The sequence below is a fragment of the Homo sapiens genome, chromosome 13, assembly GCF_000001405.40.
Source record: "Homo sapiens chromosome 13, GRCh38.p14 Primary Assembly".
In the NCBI taxonomy this organism is placed as follows: Eukaryota; Metazoa; Chordata; class Mammalia; order Primates; family Hominidae; genus Homo; species Homo sapiens.
In genome coordinates, this window is record NC_000013.11 from 111,094,790 (window position 1) to 111,111,742 (window position 16,953).

Below are 16,953 nucleotides of genomic sequence, written 5' to 3' on the forward strand. Positions count from 1 at the left end.
AACTGATTACCCTGTTCCATATAACACTGACTCCTCGTTTCACTAAACACCGTCCTCAGCTCTTTGTATCTAACCCAGCCCTTGCCTGGCTTCCGTGCGCTGTCCCCTCCTCAATGCCCATGCTGGCTGGGGTCCCCTGGGAAGCGGCATGGTTGTCTGCCAGGTAGGATTGCACCTGAGGGACCGGTTGTTCAATAGAACCCACTGGAGGCCACAGGTGAAGGGGGCTCTGAGCTTCCATGGGGTGACCCGCAGGAGGCCACTGCCTACAGGGCTGGCAGGAGGGAAACGTGACCATCAGAACTGAGAACGGGGGCAGGCCCTGTGGACCTGGAGCCCAGGCTCGACAGGGAGGGACTGCCAGGCTGCTGGAGCCCAGGGGGTGCTGGCCAGTCCACGGGGACAGCCTGGGAGAGGAGGCTGCCGGTTGCTGGTGGGGCCTCCGGAGGCTGCGGAGGGCTGGTGTAGGGGAGTGGGGGAGGAAACTGAAAAGGGGACAGACAGCTCTGCCAGAGTAGGGTGGCAGGGCAGCAAGCCTGGACGAGGAGCGCAGCTTCAGCCCCTCTGGGTGCCACTCTTGGCAGCACTTACAGGGGTGGGGTGGGATTGGCTAGGGTGCAGGGGAACAGAGCTGCGAGGCTCCAGCGCAGTGTGATGCGGCAAAGCACAGGAGGGCGTGTTGGGAGCTGAGAGAGAACAGCACCAGAACAGGTATGACCTGCCTTTTAGGACATTTTGTAATTCAGATCAGTGTTCGTGTTTGAAGAGAGTCACCGTCCTGCCATGGGAAACACTTGCATCGTCTTCCAACCTTGACAGGATTACGCGCGCTCCTGGACCGCATCCAAATAGAACTCTCCCTTATGCCCAGGGCTCGATGTGGCGACCGGCTGTGGGGGTCACGGACCCCTGCTTTTCTGGGGTGTGGCTGTAGTTGTAGTATAAACGGTCGTGCTTATTTTCTATACACTGACCTCACGCTCTTCACGTTCCTGCTGACCTCACAATGGTCTGTGAAGGTTCTACCCTGTTTACCACGCCCTTTCCCAGTGATACGAATATTTCCAGGCTCCTACATGAAGTAATTACACTGCTATGAACACATGTATGTATGCTGCCTTTTCTTCATTTAATGTGTTTCCTTATCCTAATACTTTACTTCTAAGCCACCTTTAGCCTTACATTTGAATTAGCTGGCACCCCACACTCACATTTTATTAGAACCTCCAGTGCTCGCATATTGCCATGAGCCTAGTCTCTTTTTCTTTCTGTCCTTTCTGTGTTTCGTTCTTAACCCCTTTGACCGATGACTTCTTTATTGGGCTGGTTGTTCCACTCCTTATTTTCTTAACTCCTCTGTGAACCCTTCGTTTCGTTTTACTGCCTTCATCTCTAACCAGTTTCCTGAGCTAAGGGAACCCCCTCCACCAGAAGTTGTTTGGTGGGGATGAGGCTTTCTCACCCCGGGCTAATTAGCTCACACTATCTAGGCAGACTCTTAATGAAATGTAGGACCAGGACAAGCTCAAAAATCCCTGTTTCTTAAAGGTCTTCTGTATATTCAATAAGACGCGGCTTCTAAAATTGGGTTCCAATTAATCAAACTCATAATTTAATTGATGTGCCTTTTTTTCCGGGAATAAATAAAAATAAAAACAAAAACAGCAACCAGGGCAATTAAAAATGCTTCCCTCTGGAAGTAAAATTTACATTCAAATGGCCAAAGCCATATAAAGCAAAAAATGTTCATGTAAGATTGATTTACTACCCAGGTACAAAATATGGCAGGGAACTAATTATGCATCAAATATTTATTTGTTGGTATCTGCTTCTGTTCTGCTTCAAAAAGTACTTCTCCAGTATAATTTTTTTTTTTTTAGTTTTGCACAGAATATAGGTAAAGCATGAACGGGCATTTTAACAGAAGAATCACAGTACCGCTCACTTCTAAGGCAGTATTTGTTTCAGGCTTTGCGACCAATCAGCAGTTTTCACACCCAGTCCTGGATTCGGTCTCTGCTATTTTACACCCAGGCAAGGGCACTGAGGACAGCACTTGCAAGCCTCTCTTAGGTAAATTCACCTGGAGAAGAAAACAGCTTTTATTTGTAAAACATTTGGCTTTCCAACAAGCCTTGTCTATCATGGCATCCTGATGATGCATACAAACAAGAGCTCACTGGACTGGCTTAATCTTCCAGTGCCTGCTGCTTTCTCCTGAGTAGGTTTTCTGGGCCGTGGAATCCTTCAGGCTCGTGTGTCCTCCACTGGCATTTGCTCCTGAGCGAGCACACGCTTAATGTGAAGCCCATGGCTACACCCCAGGGCATCCAAGTGCCCTCTGAAATGTTCTGTGTTGGAGGAGAGTTTCCTTAGCTTCCACCAGATTCTCAAGAGGCTTTTTAGCCCCAAGACCATTAAGAAAGAGTGTTATCCTGTTTTGGACCTTCTTGTTCGTGCTCTTTCTGGAAACAAAATGGTGCGAGAGCCTTTCCTACTTAGCCCTGGGGAAGTTCTGGTACCTGCCGGGTAATTATAACTTCCACAAAAAATATGCTTCATTCCTAGTTTTGAGGCTCATTTAGCAAACTAGTGAAGGAGTTTTACTCAACGCAAGTGTGATTGAGGGGTGAGGAACTAGGAAGGGGAGGGAGAATATAGGACAATAACTTGAAGAGAAGATGATAGGGTTGTGGAGAGATTGTTAAAGGTTAGGATTGGAGACAAGGAAGGTGGAGAGAGTAGGGGTGCGGAAGGCGAGGTGGGGAGATCCAGGGAATATTTCTTAGCAGAAGAGGTGAAGGGACCCATCCAAAGGATGGAGAAGACAGAAAAGGGATGGGAAAGTTAGCAGAATACCATCCAGAGGACAGGAGCAAGAGTTCTGGTGTGATAAACATACTCACCAAATTTGGGTTGTATTTTGGAAAGAAGGAAATGAGGAATTGGAGTGTGGGGTCTGGGGAGGGCAGAAATGCTGGGGGCAGCTGTGCTGTGAAACAGGAGAGGGGCTGCCACTTGCTCCAAGCCTCTTGAGCCTTCTTTCCCCCTACTTTGGCCATAAAATAATGGAACAATTGTTTTAACCACCACAAACCCCTGATGGTGAAGGAGAGAATTTTCGTTCTGCAAATATACATTTATTTCTGAAATTATAAACACAAGACAAAAATATGCTTATGGAGTTTTAAGTGCAACACACACACACAACTTTCTGAAGCTAAAATAACAAAATAATTGATGAATTAGAGGAGAAGAACATCCAAATGATTGGACTAGCATCTAAAAGAGAAGACAAATCTCAAAGCACAAATCTCAGGCAGTTTAGGCAATTCATAACAGAATGTGTGCACGTGTGCTCTCTCTCTCTCCCCAATCTACACAGATAACGTGGGTGTGTGTGCGTCCATCTATCATTGCTCACAACCATTTTGTTTTCTTCATCCCTTCATGCAGCGTAAGGCCCCTGTTCTGGTTTGTGTGGTGTTGGTGTGATGTCTGAAGAGATTTACCTCCAGTGGGACATGTGGGTGATAAACGATATAATTTCATCTGTTTGATTCCCCATTTACTTCTTCTCCAAACACACATACCTTGCCCATTTCAAATTTGGTGAATGTGTTTATCATACCAGAACTCTTGCCCCTGTCCTCTGGATGCTATTCTGCTAACTTTCTTATCCCTTTTCTGTTTTCTCTGTCCTCTGGATGGGTCTCTTCACCTCTTCTGCTGACAAATATTCCCTGGTTCTTTGAAAGTGAGTGGAAATAGAAGGAGATGGAAATCATTAGGAAAAATATCAGAGACACTGAAAACACGTAAAGAATTCACAGGAAAATAATAAAAGTTCTAAAATGTTAAAAGAAAGAAGACATGGAGGAAAGGTATTAAACAAATAATCAAAGAAGATACTTCTAAACTGAAAAGAAATTGAGTCAGGAATTTGAAAAGACTCATGAAGTTTCAGGCAAAAATGATGATAAACATGGATATGTGCACACATGCACTCACACACATGTGCACGTGCACGCACATGTAATCATAGCCTCATGAAAGTTCTAATATCTAATGATAAGGAGAGAATATTATAAATTTGTAGACCAAAATAACCAGTTATTCACAAAGAATAAAAGGATCAAACTAGCGTAGGACTCGTTATCTGCAACACCAGAAGCTGTAAGATAATGGAATAATATCCTGCCATTACTGAGAAAGACAGACTGCATCTTAGTCATTCTCTATCCAGCCAAGATAGCAATCACTGGTTGGGTGATAAAAACAGATTTGCAAACATGGATGAAATTAAATAGTTCATCACCCATATGTCCCACTGGAGGTAAATCTCTGAGACATAACACCAACAACACACAAACCAGAACCAGGGCCTTAGGATGTATGAAAGGATGAGGAAGAAGAAATGATGCGAGCAACAGTAGACGGACACCCACCCACCCATGTTATTTACATAGATTAGGGGAGAGAGAGTGCACATTTGATTACATTCCCTGAGCATGTGTAATATAAGAGCTAAATAAAAACTCCTGGAAAAGAAGGGATATTCTACAAGTGAAACTCTAATAATAATTGAAAACTAAAACGACTAAACTGATTGAAAAATATAGGCACTGGAGGCAAAGATGAGTGGAGGCCAGAGCTCTCTAGTGGTTGCTCTGGGATGTGAGTGGGGTGGTGCCAGGAGCACAGCTCAAGGCCCTCTGCATGTCTCTTCCTGCTCATGTGGGTGGTGAGCTGGAAGAAGAAAGAACCTACTGGTGGAAAAGCAGTGCATTATGGTATCCCACTTTTAAAACTAGAGGAATATGTGTCTGACTGTAAGCCAATAAAGGGTAGATAACTATTTTCTAAATGGAAAATTATAATGCTGTTTTTAAGTTTTAACAAAAGGACAAAAACGGAAAAGAAGAGTAATTTGAACAAATGAACTAAAACATGGGAAATGAAAATAGAAAACAACAATGTAAAATAAATAATACTTTATTAAAATAAAGAGAATAAAATGAATGTATCAGTCAGTACAGGATGGACTATTTTTCTTTTAGAAAATACACTGTCAAGTACACAAAATAAGCCTGATTTCATGCTATTTATGCATATTCTCACTTAAAACGAAGTCTTGAAAAAAGCTTGAAAATAAAGATATGGACAAAGAATTATCAGGTAAATACAAGTATAAAGAAAACAAGGATAGAAAAATGCCAGACATGCTAAAATTAGGAACAGAAGAATGAGGAAGGGACATCATGAATTGATTTAAGGCATAACATGAGAAAGATGCAAAAGTTTTCAACCAACCTGTGCATCTAACATCTTATGTAATTTTTAAAATAATTTGGAATTTAGGGAAAATGATTTAAAAATTTATGTCCGTGAGAGGAGGGGCCAAGATGGTGAACTAGAAGCAGCTCATATGCACCACTCTTACTGAGAGGAAACAAAAGGGCTGGTGAACACTGACCCTGCAGGTCGATCATCTGAGAAACCATGTCGGGATCCATCAAGACAGCAGTGGGACACAGAGAGCAGAGAGGAGCAAAGCTGGGCCCCAGCCAGTCTGGGCTTAGTGAGTAGCCAGGAGAACCTCTCCAATATGGGAAAAGATGAGTGAGTGAGTGGAGACCCCTGGGGGATTCACACTCTCCACAGGGACCTGTGTAAGATTGGGAATGGGAGAATCTCCCTGGCACCCCCAAACACCCCCACTGTGCTTCTAGAGTCAGGCAGAGAGCCACCTGGACATTTTGTGGGGGCAACTCTTGAGTCCAAGGGCATCTCTACAAGCATTGGGTCCCAGAGCAGACCAGCACTGGTGCCATAGCTCCAACAGAGCCACAGCTGCAGGACGTGGGAGGAGTAAGATTGCACCACCAGTCCTCACTGGACTGGGCTTGGCACTAGCTTCTGGCTCAGCAGCCCTGCTTTTACCTGAACTCAGCGCAGCAGCAGCCTCCTGCTGTCCTAGAAAGCACCCTGATAGCAGGGTGGGAGACCCCACCCATCCCCACCCATCCCCACCACTGGCAACCACGTAAGCGACACCTGCTAGCGCTTCCAGCCCAGGATTCTCACTTCTGTGTGAACTCAGCCAGAGGATGTAGCCTCCTGTTGTCCCAGGAAATACCCAGACAGCAGGATGGGCAACCCTATCCAACCCCACTGCTGGTAGCCAAGTGGGCAAGTCTTGCTAGAGCTTTCAGCCCAGCAGTCTCTCTTCTGCCTGAACTCTGCTGGCAAGCACAACCTTGTGTTCCTTCAGGAGGCACTCAGACAGCAGATTAAGGCTGACCCAACAAGGGTATGGCCTCTCTGCCAACTGCGGCCCCTGCCTGAGGGAGCCCCATGGACAAGAACACCCAATAAGAGAAGCATAGGCATGGAGACAGTGGTTGAAGGGGCCTCCTCCAAGACCCAATAGTAGACTAGAATCGAGGCCAGTTGACTGAACCCACCTTATACCACAAACGAACCCCCGAGGGCATCAAAGAAACTAAAAACAACCCCATCAAAAGGACACCAGTTTCAAAAATTATAAGAACATCAGCCTACACAAATGAGAAAAAAAAACAAAACAGGGCAAGAGCTCTGGCAACTCAAAAAGCCAGAATGTCTTCTTTCCTGCAAATAACTGCACTAGTTCCCCAACAGTGATTCTTAACCAGGCTGAAATGGCTGAAATGTCAGAAAAAAGAATTCAGAATATGGATAGGAATAAAAAGCATTGACATTCAGGAGGAAGTTGAAAACCAATTCAAGGAATCTAAGGAATACAATAAAATGATACAGAAGATAAAAGACAAAATGGCTGTTTTAAGAAAGAACTGAACTGATAGAGCTAAAAAACTCACTTCAAGAATCACATGGCCGGGTGCTGTGGCTCATGCCTGTAATCCCAGCACTTTGGGAGGCTGAGGCGAGTAGATCACTTGAGGTCAGGAGTTCGAGACCACCCTGGCCAATATGGTGAAACCCCGTTTCTACTGAAAATACAAAAATTAGTCTGGCATGATGGTGCGGGCCTGTAGTCCCAGCTACTCGAGAGGCTGAGGTGGGAGAATCACTTGAACCCAGGAGATGGAGGTTGCAGTGAACTGAGACTGTGCCACTGAACTCCAGCCTGGGCGACAGAGTGAGACACCATCTCAAAAAAAAAAAAATTCATAATACAGGCCAGGCATGGTAGTTCACACCTATAATCCCAGCAGTTTGGGAGGCTGGCACAGGTGGATCACTTGAACCCAGGAGTTCCAGACCAGCCTGGGCAATATGGAGAAACCCCATCTCTACAGAAAATACAAAAATTAGCCAAGTGTGGTAGCACACACCTGTAGCCCCAGCTACTCAAGAGGCTGAGGTAGGAAAATCACTTGAGCCTGGGAGGTGGAGGTTGCAGTGAGCTGAGATCACACCACTGCACTCCAGCCTGAGTGACAGAGTAAGACCTTGTCTCAAAAAAAAAAATTATAATACAATGTAAAGTATTAACAGCAGAATTGACCAAGCTGAGGAAAGAATTTCAGATCTAAAAGACTGGTTCTCTGAAATAACTCAGTCAGACAAAAATAACAACAAAAACAAAACAAAACAAACAAGAATGAACAAAACCTTCAAGAAATATGGGATTATGGAAAGAGACTAAATCTACAACTCACTGGCATCAGTGAAAGAGGGAGAGAAAGCAAGCAACTTGGAAAACTTATTTGAGGATACCATCCATGAAAATTTTTCCAACCTTGCTAGAGAGGCCAACATTCAAATCCAGAAAATGCAGACAACCCCTGTGAGATAGTACACAAGATGACTGTATTGGGTTGTTCTTGCATTGGTATAAAGAAATACCTGAGACTGGGTAATTGATAAGAAAAGAGGACTAATTGGCTCATGTTTCTGCAGGTAGTACAGGAAGCATAACATTGGCATCTGCTTCTAGGGAGGTCTCAGGAAGCTTTTACTCATGGTGAGTAAAATGATCCACCCCCATGATCCAAATACCTCCCACCAGACCCCACCTCCAACACTGGGGATTATATCCTAACATGAGATTTGAGCAGGGACAAATATCTAAATGATATCAATGACCATCCCCAAGACACATAGTCATCAGATTCCCCAGGGTCAAAATGAAAGAAAAAATATTAAAGGCAGCTAGAGAGAAGGGTCAGGTCACCTACAAAGGGAACCACATCAGGCTAACAGCAAACCTTTCAGTAGAAACCTTATAAGCCAGAAGAGATTAGGAGCCTATATTCAGCATTCTTAAAAAACGTAAATTCCAGCTGAGAATTTCATATCCAGCCAAACTAAGCTTCATAAGTAAAGGACAAATAACATCCTTTTCAGACAAGCAAATGCTAGGGGAATTTGCCACCACCAGGCCTGCCTTATAAGAGGTCCTTAAGGGAATGCTAAATGTGGAAAGGGAAGACTGTTACCTGCCACCATGAAAACTGACTTAAGTACATAGACCATTGACATAAAGCAACCACACAATCAAGTCTGCATAATAACCAGCTAACAACATGATGACAGGATCAAACCTGCACATATTAATATTTAATCTTTAAAGTAAATGGACTAAATGCCCCAGTTAAAAGGCACTGAGTGGCAAGTTGAATAAAGAAGCAAGACCCAACTATATGCTGTCTACAAGAGACCTATCTCACTTGCAATGACACCCATAGGCTCAAAGTAAAGGGATGGAGAAAAATCTAGCGAGCAAATGGAAAACAGAAAAAAATCAGGAGTTACAATTCTAATTTCAGACAAAACAAACTTTCAACCAACAACAGTCAACAAAGACAAACAGAGGCATTAGACAATGGCAAAGGATTCAATTCAACAGGAAGACTATCCTAAATATATGCACCCAACATAGGAAGACTCAGATTGATGAAGCAAGTTTTTACAGACCAATGAAGAGACTTAGATGACCACGCAATAATAGTGGGAGACTTCAACACCCCACTGATGGTATTAGACAGATCACTGAGGGAGAAAATTGACAAAGGCATATGGGACCTGAACTTGACATTTGACCAAATAGGCCTAATAGATATCTACCGAACTCTCCACACCAAAACAGCAGAATATACATTCTTCTCATCTGCACATAACACATACTCTAAAATCAGCCACACAATTGGCCACAGAACAATCCTCAGAAATTTTTAAAAAACTGAAATTATATCAAACACACTCTTGGACCACAGTGCAATAAAAATAGAAATAGAAATCAATTCTAAGAACATTACTCAAACTCATATAATTACATGGAAATTAAACAACCTGCTCCTGAATGACTTTTGGGTAAACAATGAAATTAAGGCAGAAATCAAGAAATTATTTGAAACTGATTAGAACAAAGATACAACATACCAGAATATCTGGGACACAGCTAATGCATTAAGGGGGAAGTCAGTAGCATTAGACATCTACCTCGAAAAATTAGAAAGATCTCAAATTAACAACCTAACATCACACCTAGAGAAACTAAAGAAACAAGAACAAATCAACCCCAAAGCTAGCGGAAGACAAGGAAGAGGCAAAATCAGAGCTGAACCGAAGGAAATCAAGATGCGAAAAACCACAGAAAAGATCAATGAATCCATGAACTGGTTTTTTGAAATAATAAATAAGATTAACAGACTGCTAGCTAGACTAATAAATAAAAGGATAAAGAAGATCCAAATAAACACAATGAGAAATGACAAAGGGGACATTGCCACTAAACTCACATAAATACAAAACCCCCTCAGAGACTACAATGAACACCTCTATGCACACAAGCTAGAAAATCTAAAAGAAATGTATACATTCCTGGAAACATACAACCTTCTAAGATTGAACCAGGAAGAAACTGAATCCTTAAACAGACCAATAATGAGTTCTTACTGAATCAATATTAAAAAGGCCACCAACCAGGAAAAGCCCAGGACCAGATGGATGCACAGCCAAATTCTACCAGATGTATAAAGAAGAACTGGTACCATTCCACTGCAACTATTCCAAAAAATTGAGGAGGAGGGACTCCTCCTTCACTCATTCTACAAGCCCGGTGTCATCCTGATATAAAAACCTGGCAGAGACACAACAAAAAAAGAAAACTTCTGGCCAATATCATTGATGAACATAGATGCAGAACTTTTCAACAAAATCCTATCAAACCAAATCCAGTAGTATATTGAAAAGCTAATCCAACACAATCAAGTAGGTTTTCTCACTGGAATGTAAGGTTGGTTCAACATATGCAAATCAATAAAGTGATTTTATTTTTATTTTATTTATTTAAAAAAGCCAAAAACAAAACCACCTGGTCATCTCAATAGAAACAGAAAAGGCTTTTGATAAAATTCAACATCCCTTCACGTTAAAAACCCTCTACAAACTAGGCATTGAAAGAACATACCTCAAAAGAATAAGAGCCATCTGTGACAAACCCACAGCCAATATCATACTTACTGGGCAAAAGCTTGAAGTATTTCCTTTGAGAACCAGAACAAGACAAGGATACCCACTTTCACTATTCCTATTCAACATAGTACTGGAAGTCCTAGCCAGAGGAGTCACGCAAGAGAAAGAAATAAAAGGCATGCAAACGGGAAGAGAGTAAGTCAAACTCTCTCTGTTTGTAGAAAATATGATTATGTACCTAGAAAATCCATAGTCTCTGCCCAAAAGTTCCTAGATCTGCTACACAATTTCAGCAAAGTTTCAGGATATAAAATCAATGTACAAAAATCAGTAGCATTTCTATTCACAAACAATGTCCGAGCTGAGAGCCAAATCAAGAACATGATCTGGCCAGGCGTGGTGGCTCATGCCTGTAATCCCATCACTCTGGAAGGACAAGGTAGGAGGATTGCTTGAGCACAGGAATTCAAGACCAGCCTGGGCAACAGAGGGAGACCCTATCTCTACAAAATTAAAAATTAGCTGAGTGTGGTGGCTTGTGTCTGTAGTCCTAGCTACGTGAGAGGCTGAAATGGGAGAATTGCTTGAGCCCAGGAGGTTGAGGCTGCAGTAAACCATGATCACACCACTGCACTGCAGCCTGGGTGACAGAGTGAAACCATGTCTCAAAAAAGAAAAAAAAAAAAAAGGAAAAAAAAAAAAAAGCAAATGCAATCCCACTCACAATAGCCACAAAAAGAATAAAATACTTAGGAATACAACTAATCCAGGGAGGTGAAAGATCTTTTCAATGAGAATTACAAAACATTGTTCAAAGAAATCAGAGATGACCCAAATGGAAAAACATTCCATGATCATGGGCAGGAAGAATCAATATTGTTAAAATGGCCATATTGCCAAAAGCAATTTATAGATTCAATGCCATTGCTACCAAACTACCAATGATATTCTTCACAGAACAAAGAAAAACTATTTTAAAATTCATATGGATCAAAAAAATGGCTCAAGTAGCCAAGGAAATCCTAAGCATAAAGAACAAAGCTGGAGGAATCACTGTACCCGACTTCAAACTCTACTACAAGGCTACAGTAACCAAAACAGCATGGTACTGTACAAAAACAGTTACCTGGACTAATGGAACAGAATACAGAGCCCAGAAATAACACCACACACCTACAACCATCTTATCTTCAACAAAGTCGACAAAAACAAGCAATGGGGAAGGGACTCCCTATTCAATAAATGGCTAGTCATATGCGAAATATCGAAACTAGAACCCTTCCTTACACCATATACAAAAACCAACTCAAGATGAATTAAAGATTTAAATGTAAAACCTAAAACTAAAAACCCTGGAAGATAACCTAGGAAATACCCTTCTGGACATAGCCCTGCCAAAGATTTCATGATGAATATGCCAAAAACGTTGCAAAAAAACAAAAATTGACAAATAGGACCTAATTAAACTAAAGAGCTTCTGCACAGCAAAAGGAACTCTCAACAGAGTAAAAAGACAACCTACAGAATGGGAAAAAAATAACTGCAAACTATGCATTCGACAAAGGTCTAATATCCAGAATCTACAAGGCACTTAAACAAACTAATAAGCAAAAAACAACCCCATTAAAAAATGGGCAAAGGATGTAAACAGACATTTTTCAAAAGAAGACATACACACGGCCAACAAGGATACAAAACAAATGCTCAACATCATTAATCATTAGAGAAATGCAAATTAAAATCACAATGAAATATCATCTCACACCATTCAGAATGACTATTATTAAAAAATCAGAAAATAACAGATGCTGGCAAGGTTGTGGAGAAAAGGGAGCACTTATACAATGCTGGTGGGAATGCAAATTAGTTCAATCATTGTGGAAAGCAGTTTGATGGTTTCTCAAAGAATTTAAAATAGAAGTACCATTTGATGTAGCAATGCCTTTATTGGGTATACACCCAAAGGAATATAAATCGTTCTCCCACAAAGACACATACACATGCGTGTTCACTGCAGCACTATTCACAAGAGCAAAGACATGGAATCAACATAAATGTCCATCAGTTGTAGCCTGGTTAAAGAAAATGTGGTACATATACACCATGGAATACTATGCAACCATAAAAAGAGGAGATCACATCCTTTGCAGCAACATGGATGGGGCTGGAAGCCATTATCCTAAGGGAACTAATGTGGGAACAGAAAACCAAATACTACACTTGTTCTCACTTGTAAGTGGGAGCTAAACATTGAATACACATGGACACAGAGAATGGAACAGCAGACACTGGGGCCCACTTAAAGTTGGAAGGTGGGAGGAGGAAGAGGATCAAAGGACTGCCTATCAGGTGTTATGCTAATTACCTGAGGGATGAAATAATCTGTACAGCAAACCCCCATGGTATGTAATTTACATATTTACATATGTAACAAACCTGCACATGTACCCCTGAACCTAAAATAAAAGTTAAAAAAAAGTATGTCCATGAGAGTCGACATTTCTAATAGACAAAAAAGGTGGGAACAGGAAAAAATTTAAAAACTCAATTGGCTATTGGGAGGCTAAAATGGTAGGATTGCTTGAGCCCAGGAGTTTGAGACCAGCCTGGGCAATAGAGCAAAAACTGTCTAAACAGAACAAAACAAAACAAAACAAAAAAGCCTCAATGGCGCACAGTGTGAGTCTGAAAAAGTAGCTAAAGGGAAGTTTTTTGTTTTTGTTTTTTGTAGTTTTGGGAAGAATTCTGTGGCCCGATTGTGGCAGTGGTTATAAGAATCTATGCATGTGGTAAAATTTATAGAACTATCTACACACATAGACATACAGTACATGTAAAAACTGGTGAAGTCCAAATAATGTCTATAGTTTAGTTAATAGTATTGTACCCACATCAATTTCCTTATTTTGAAAGCATACTCTGGTTATGTGAGACATTATCATCAAAGGAGCTGGGTGAAGGGCACATGGGAACTCTCTTACTTTTTGAAACCTGTTGTGAATATAAAATTATTTCAGGATAAAAAGTGTTTTAATAAATTACAAAAACTTTTTGTAATATAATTGCATATTCTCTTGAACAGAGTATACACATTTTTTCATAAGTTCATGAAATATTTAAAATCCTAGCAAGTTTTAGAGAGTAGGAATATATAGGCTTGATTGCCTAATCTCAATCAATGGCCGATGAACTCTGAAGTCATTGATAATTAAGAAAACATGTTCCTAGATAAAGATTTGGTCAAAGAGGGGGAACCCTCATACACTGTTGGTGGGAATGTAATTTAGTACCGCCACTGTGGAAAACTGTATGGAAGTTCCTCAAAAAACTAAAAATAGAACTACCATATGATCCAGCGATCCCACTGCTGGGTATATATCCCAAAGAAAGGAAATCGAGCCAAGTACGGTGGCTCATGCCTGTAATCCCAGCACTTTGGGAGGCCAAGGTGGGCAGATGACCTGAGGTCAGGAGTTCCACCAGCATGGCCAACATGGTGAAACCCCATCTTTAATAAAAATACAAAAATTAGTGGGGCATGATGGTGGGCACCTGTAGTCCCGGCTACTCAGGAGGCTGAGGCATAAGAATTGTTTGAACCCGGGAGGCAGAAGTTGCAATGAGCTGAGATCAGACCACTGCACTCCAGCCTGGGTGACAGAGCGAGACTCTGACTCAAGACGAAACAAAACAAAAAAACTAAAAGAAAGGAAATCAATATATCAAAGAGATATCTACACTTCCACGTTTATTGTAGCACTGTTCACAATAGCCAAGGTAATGGAATCAACTTAAATGTCTATCAACAGATGAATAAGATTGGGTGTGGTGGCTTACACCTGTAATCCCAGCACTTTGGGAGGCCAAGGTGGGCAGATTGCTTGAGGCTAGGAGTTCAAGACCAGCCTGGGCAACATGGCAAAAACCCACCTCTACAAAAAATACAAAAAAATTAGCCAGGCATGGTGGCACATTCCTGTAGTCCCAGCTACTTGGGAGGCTAAGGTGGTAAGATCACTTGAGCCAAGGGCATCAAGGCTGCAGTGAGCTGCAGTCACGCCACTGTACTCCAGCCTAGGCAACAGAGTGAGACTTTGTCACAAAACAAAACAAAACAAAACACAGATGAATGAAATTTTTAAAAAGTGGTATATATAAACTATGAAATTTTGTTCATCCATACAAAAGAATGAAATTTTTTTGTAGTAACATGGATTAAACTAGAGGTCGTTTTGTTAAGTAAAATAGGCCAGGCACAAAAAGACAAATATGGCACGCTCTCACTTATATGTGAGAACTAAAAAAGTGGATCTCATGGAGACAGAGAGTAGACCGGTGGTTAGCAGAGGACAGGAAGGGTGGAGGGGAGCGAGGGGTGAAGACAGGTTCCTTAATGCATACCAAAATATAGTTCGATAGGAGAAAGAAGACCTAGTGTTTGATAGATCAGTAGAGTGACTATAATTTACAATAATCTATTACATATTTCAAAATAGCTAGGAGAGAATAATTCAAATGTTTCTAGTATAAAGGAAAGACAAATATTTAAGGTTATGGATATCCCAATTACACTGACTTGATCTTTACAATAAATCTTTATATGAATGTATTAAATTATCACATGTAACCCCCAAATATGTACATCTATTATTTATCTATTTAAAAAATTGAAAGGATTTGGCCAAAGAGGAAATCGAAAGGGAACTTATAAATCCCCTTGGAAGCAATGGAAAAGAATGTACTTTCTAATAAAACTCATGGGACACAGTGAAAGTTATATTTAGAAGGAAAAGGGTAATTGAGCATTCATCTTGAGAAATGAATAAAGGCACTGTGAAGAACTAGAATGGATCTGAGCTTTTACCCAACTTACAAACTAAGACAGTCAGCCACAGTTTCATGGATGCTGGAAGAAGACACGAGACTCCTGGGTCAGAAACAAACGACCATATGAACCCTGGCTGAGCAGGCAGCATGGGCTTCAGGTTCATAACAGGCTCCTTGCTTCTGAGTCCCATGAGGCCATGCAGAGGTGGCCCAGGGGAAGGCTGCAGGCATGGTGGGCTTGTGTCACAGCTAAGGGACTTCAAGCTTGGGCAACCCTAGTCTTTAAAGGCACTGCAAGCAAACCTGCTCAAACTCTCCCAGAGACAGACATTTTTTAAATCTACTGGTTGGCAAGCAAATTTGTCCTCTTCCCAAAAGGGGAACAGTATATCTACTTTCCAAGGCTGTTTGCTTTAAAAGACTTTTGAAAATATAGTCTGCAACAAAAGCTGTCATTACCTCTGCTCAGATATTCAGAAGTGGAAGAGACTCATGGAGAAAGGTCTCCCAAGAATTCCAAAAAGAGAAATTAAGAAGAGGGAAATAAGAAATTGAAATGTATCAAATGTGTTTTTCAAAGTCTGTGAATTCATAATGGTATTCAGAAAAATCACTGGTCTCCTCTGCAGGATGCTGGAGCACCAACTCGTGATGCTGAAAAGTGGTAAACAATGGAAAATGAGTGAGCATTTATCTTGCCTTTCCTGTAGGAACTACGTTTCAGAGTACACATATAGCTGATAAAGAACAGTACCTCTTGCAGAATTCTAGCTGAAATATAACTGAAGGACTTATCAAGATATGGCAATTCTGAATGAAACACTGAATCTAGTAGGAATTATGAATAGTTGCTGAAGCAAATAGATGATGATGGGTGGAATCATAATGGATGGATCTGGATAGTAACACCAGAATGCACCAATCGATCCTGCATCACAGAGATCCCAGGACACCACGTTCCTTCTGAGTGATGATAGTAAGTTCCACTTCCCCTTCCTCTCATGTAATATTTCTGGGGCAGGGTCCTGATTTCTCAAAGGGCACTATTGGGAGTAAAATTGTCCACCAAAAGATATGTTGAAATCCTAACTCCGAGTACCTGTAAATGCAACCTTATTTAGAAATAGGTTCTTCACAGATACAATCAAGCCAAGATGAGGCCATCCCAGATCAGAGTGGGTCTTCACCCAGTGACTAGCATGCTTATAAGAAGAGAGAAATTCAGACACTGACACAGAGAGGGAGAAAAGTCCATGTGAACACAGAGGCAGAGATTAGGGCGATTTATACCCAGTACAAGGAGGTTCCCTTGGATGGCTGGCCACCCACAGAAGCTGGGAGAGAAACCTGCAGCAGATTCTCCCTCTGGGCCCCAGAAAGAACCAATCCTGCCCACACCTTCACTTCAGACTTCCAAACTTCAGAAATGGGAGAGAATATATTTCTTTTTATTTGAGCCGCCCAGCTTGTGAGACTTTGTTACGGCCTCTCCCAGAAATGCATAGGCCCCAGTAGGACTGCAGCCCAGGTTCCCGTAGCAATAACCTGCCAACAAGGCAGCCTTGTGTTTAGCTTCTCCCCTTCCCTGTCCCATCGTCCCATTTTCTCCTTTGTGCTTTTCATGGTCACTTCCCAAATAGGCAGCCTGCACTGAAGCCCTGGCTCAGGGTCTGCCTTCGGGGACAGGAGGGGACAAACCAA

The 16,953-nt window shown here is 41.7% G+C and overlaps 1 long non-coding RNA gene across 1 annotated transcript; it reads left to right on the plus strand.

Annotated features, from left to right (window-relative positions):
* Window positions 1-1,048: 1,048 nt before the first annotated feature.
* Window positions 1,049-11,113, plus strand: LINC00368 (long intergenic non-protein coding RNA 368). Its single transcript, NR_120415.1, has 3 exons — window positions 1,049-1,105; window positions 1,881-2,073; window positions 7,909-11,113. It is a non-coding gene; the product is annotated as a long intergenic non-protein coding RNA 368 (long non-coding RNA).
* Window positions 11,114-16,953: the final 5,840 nt, after the last annotated feature.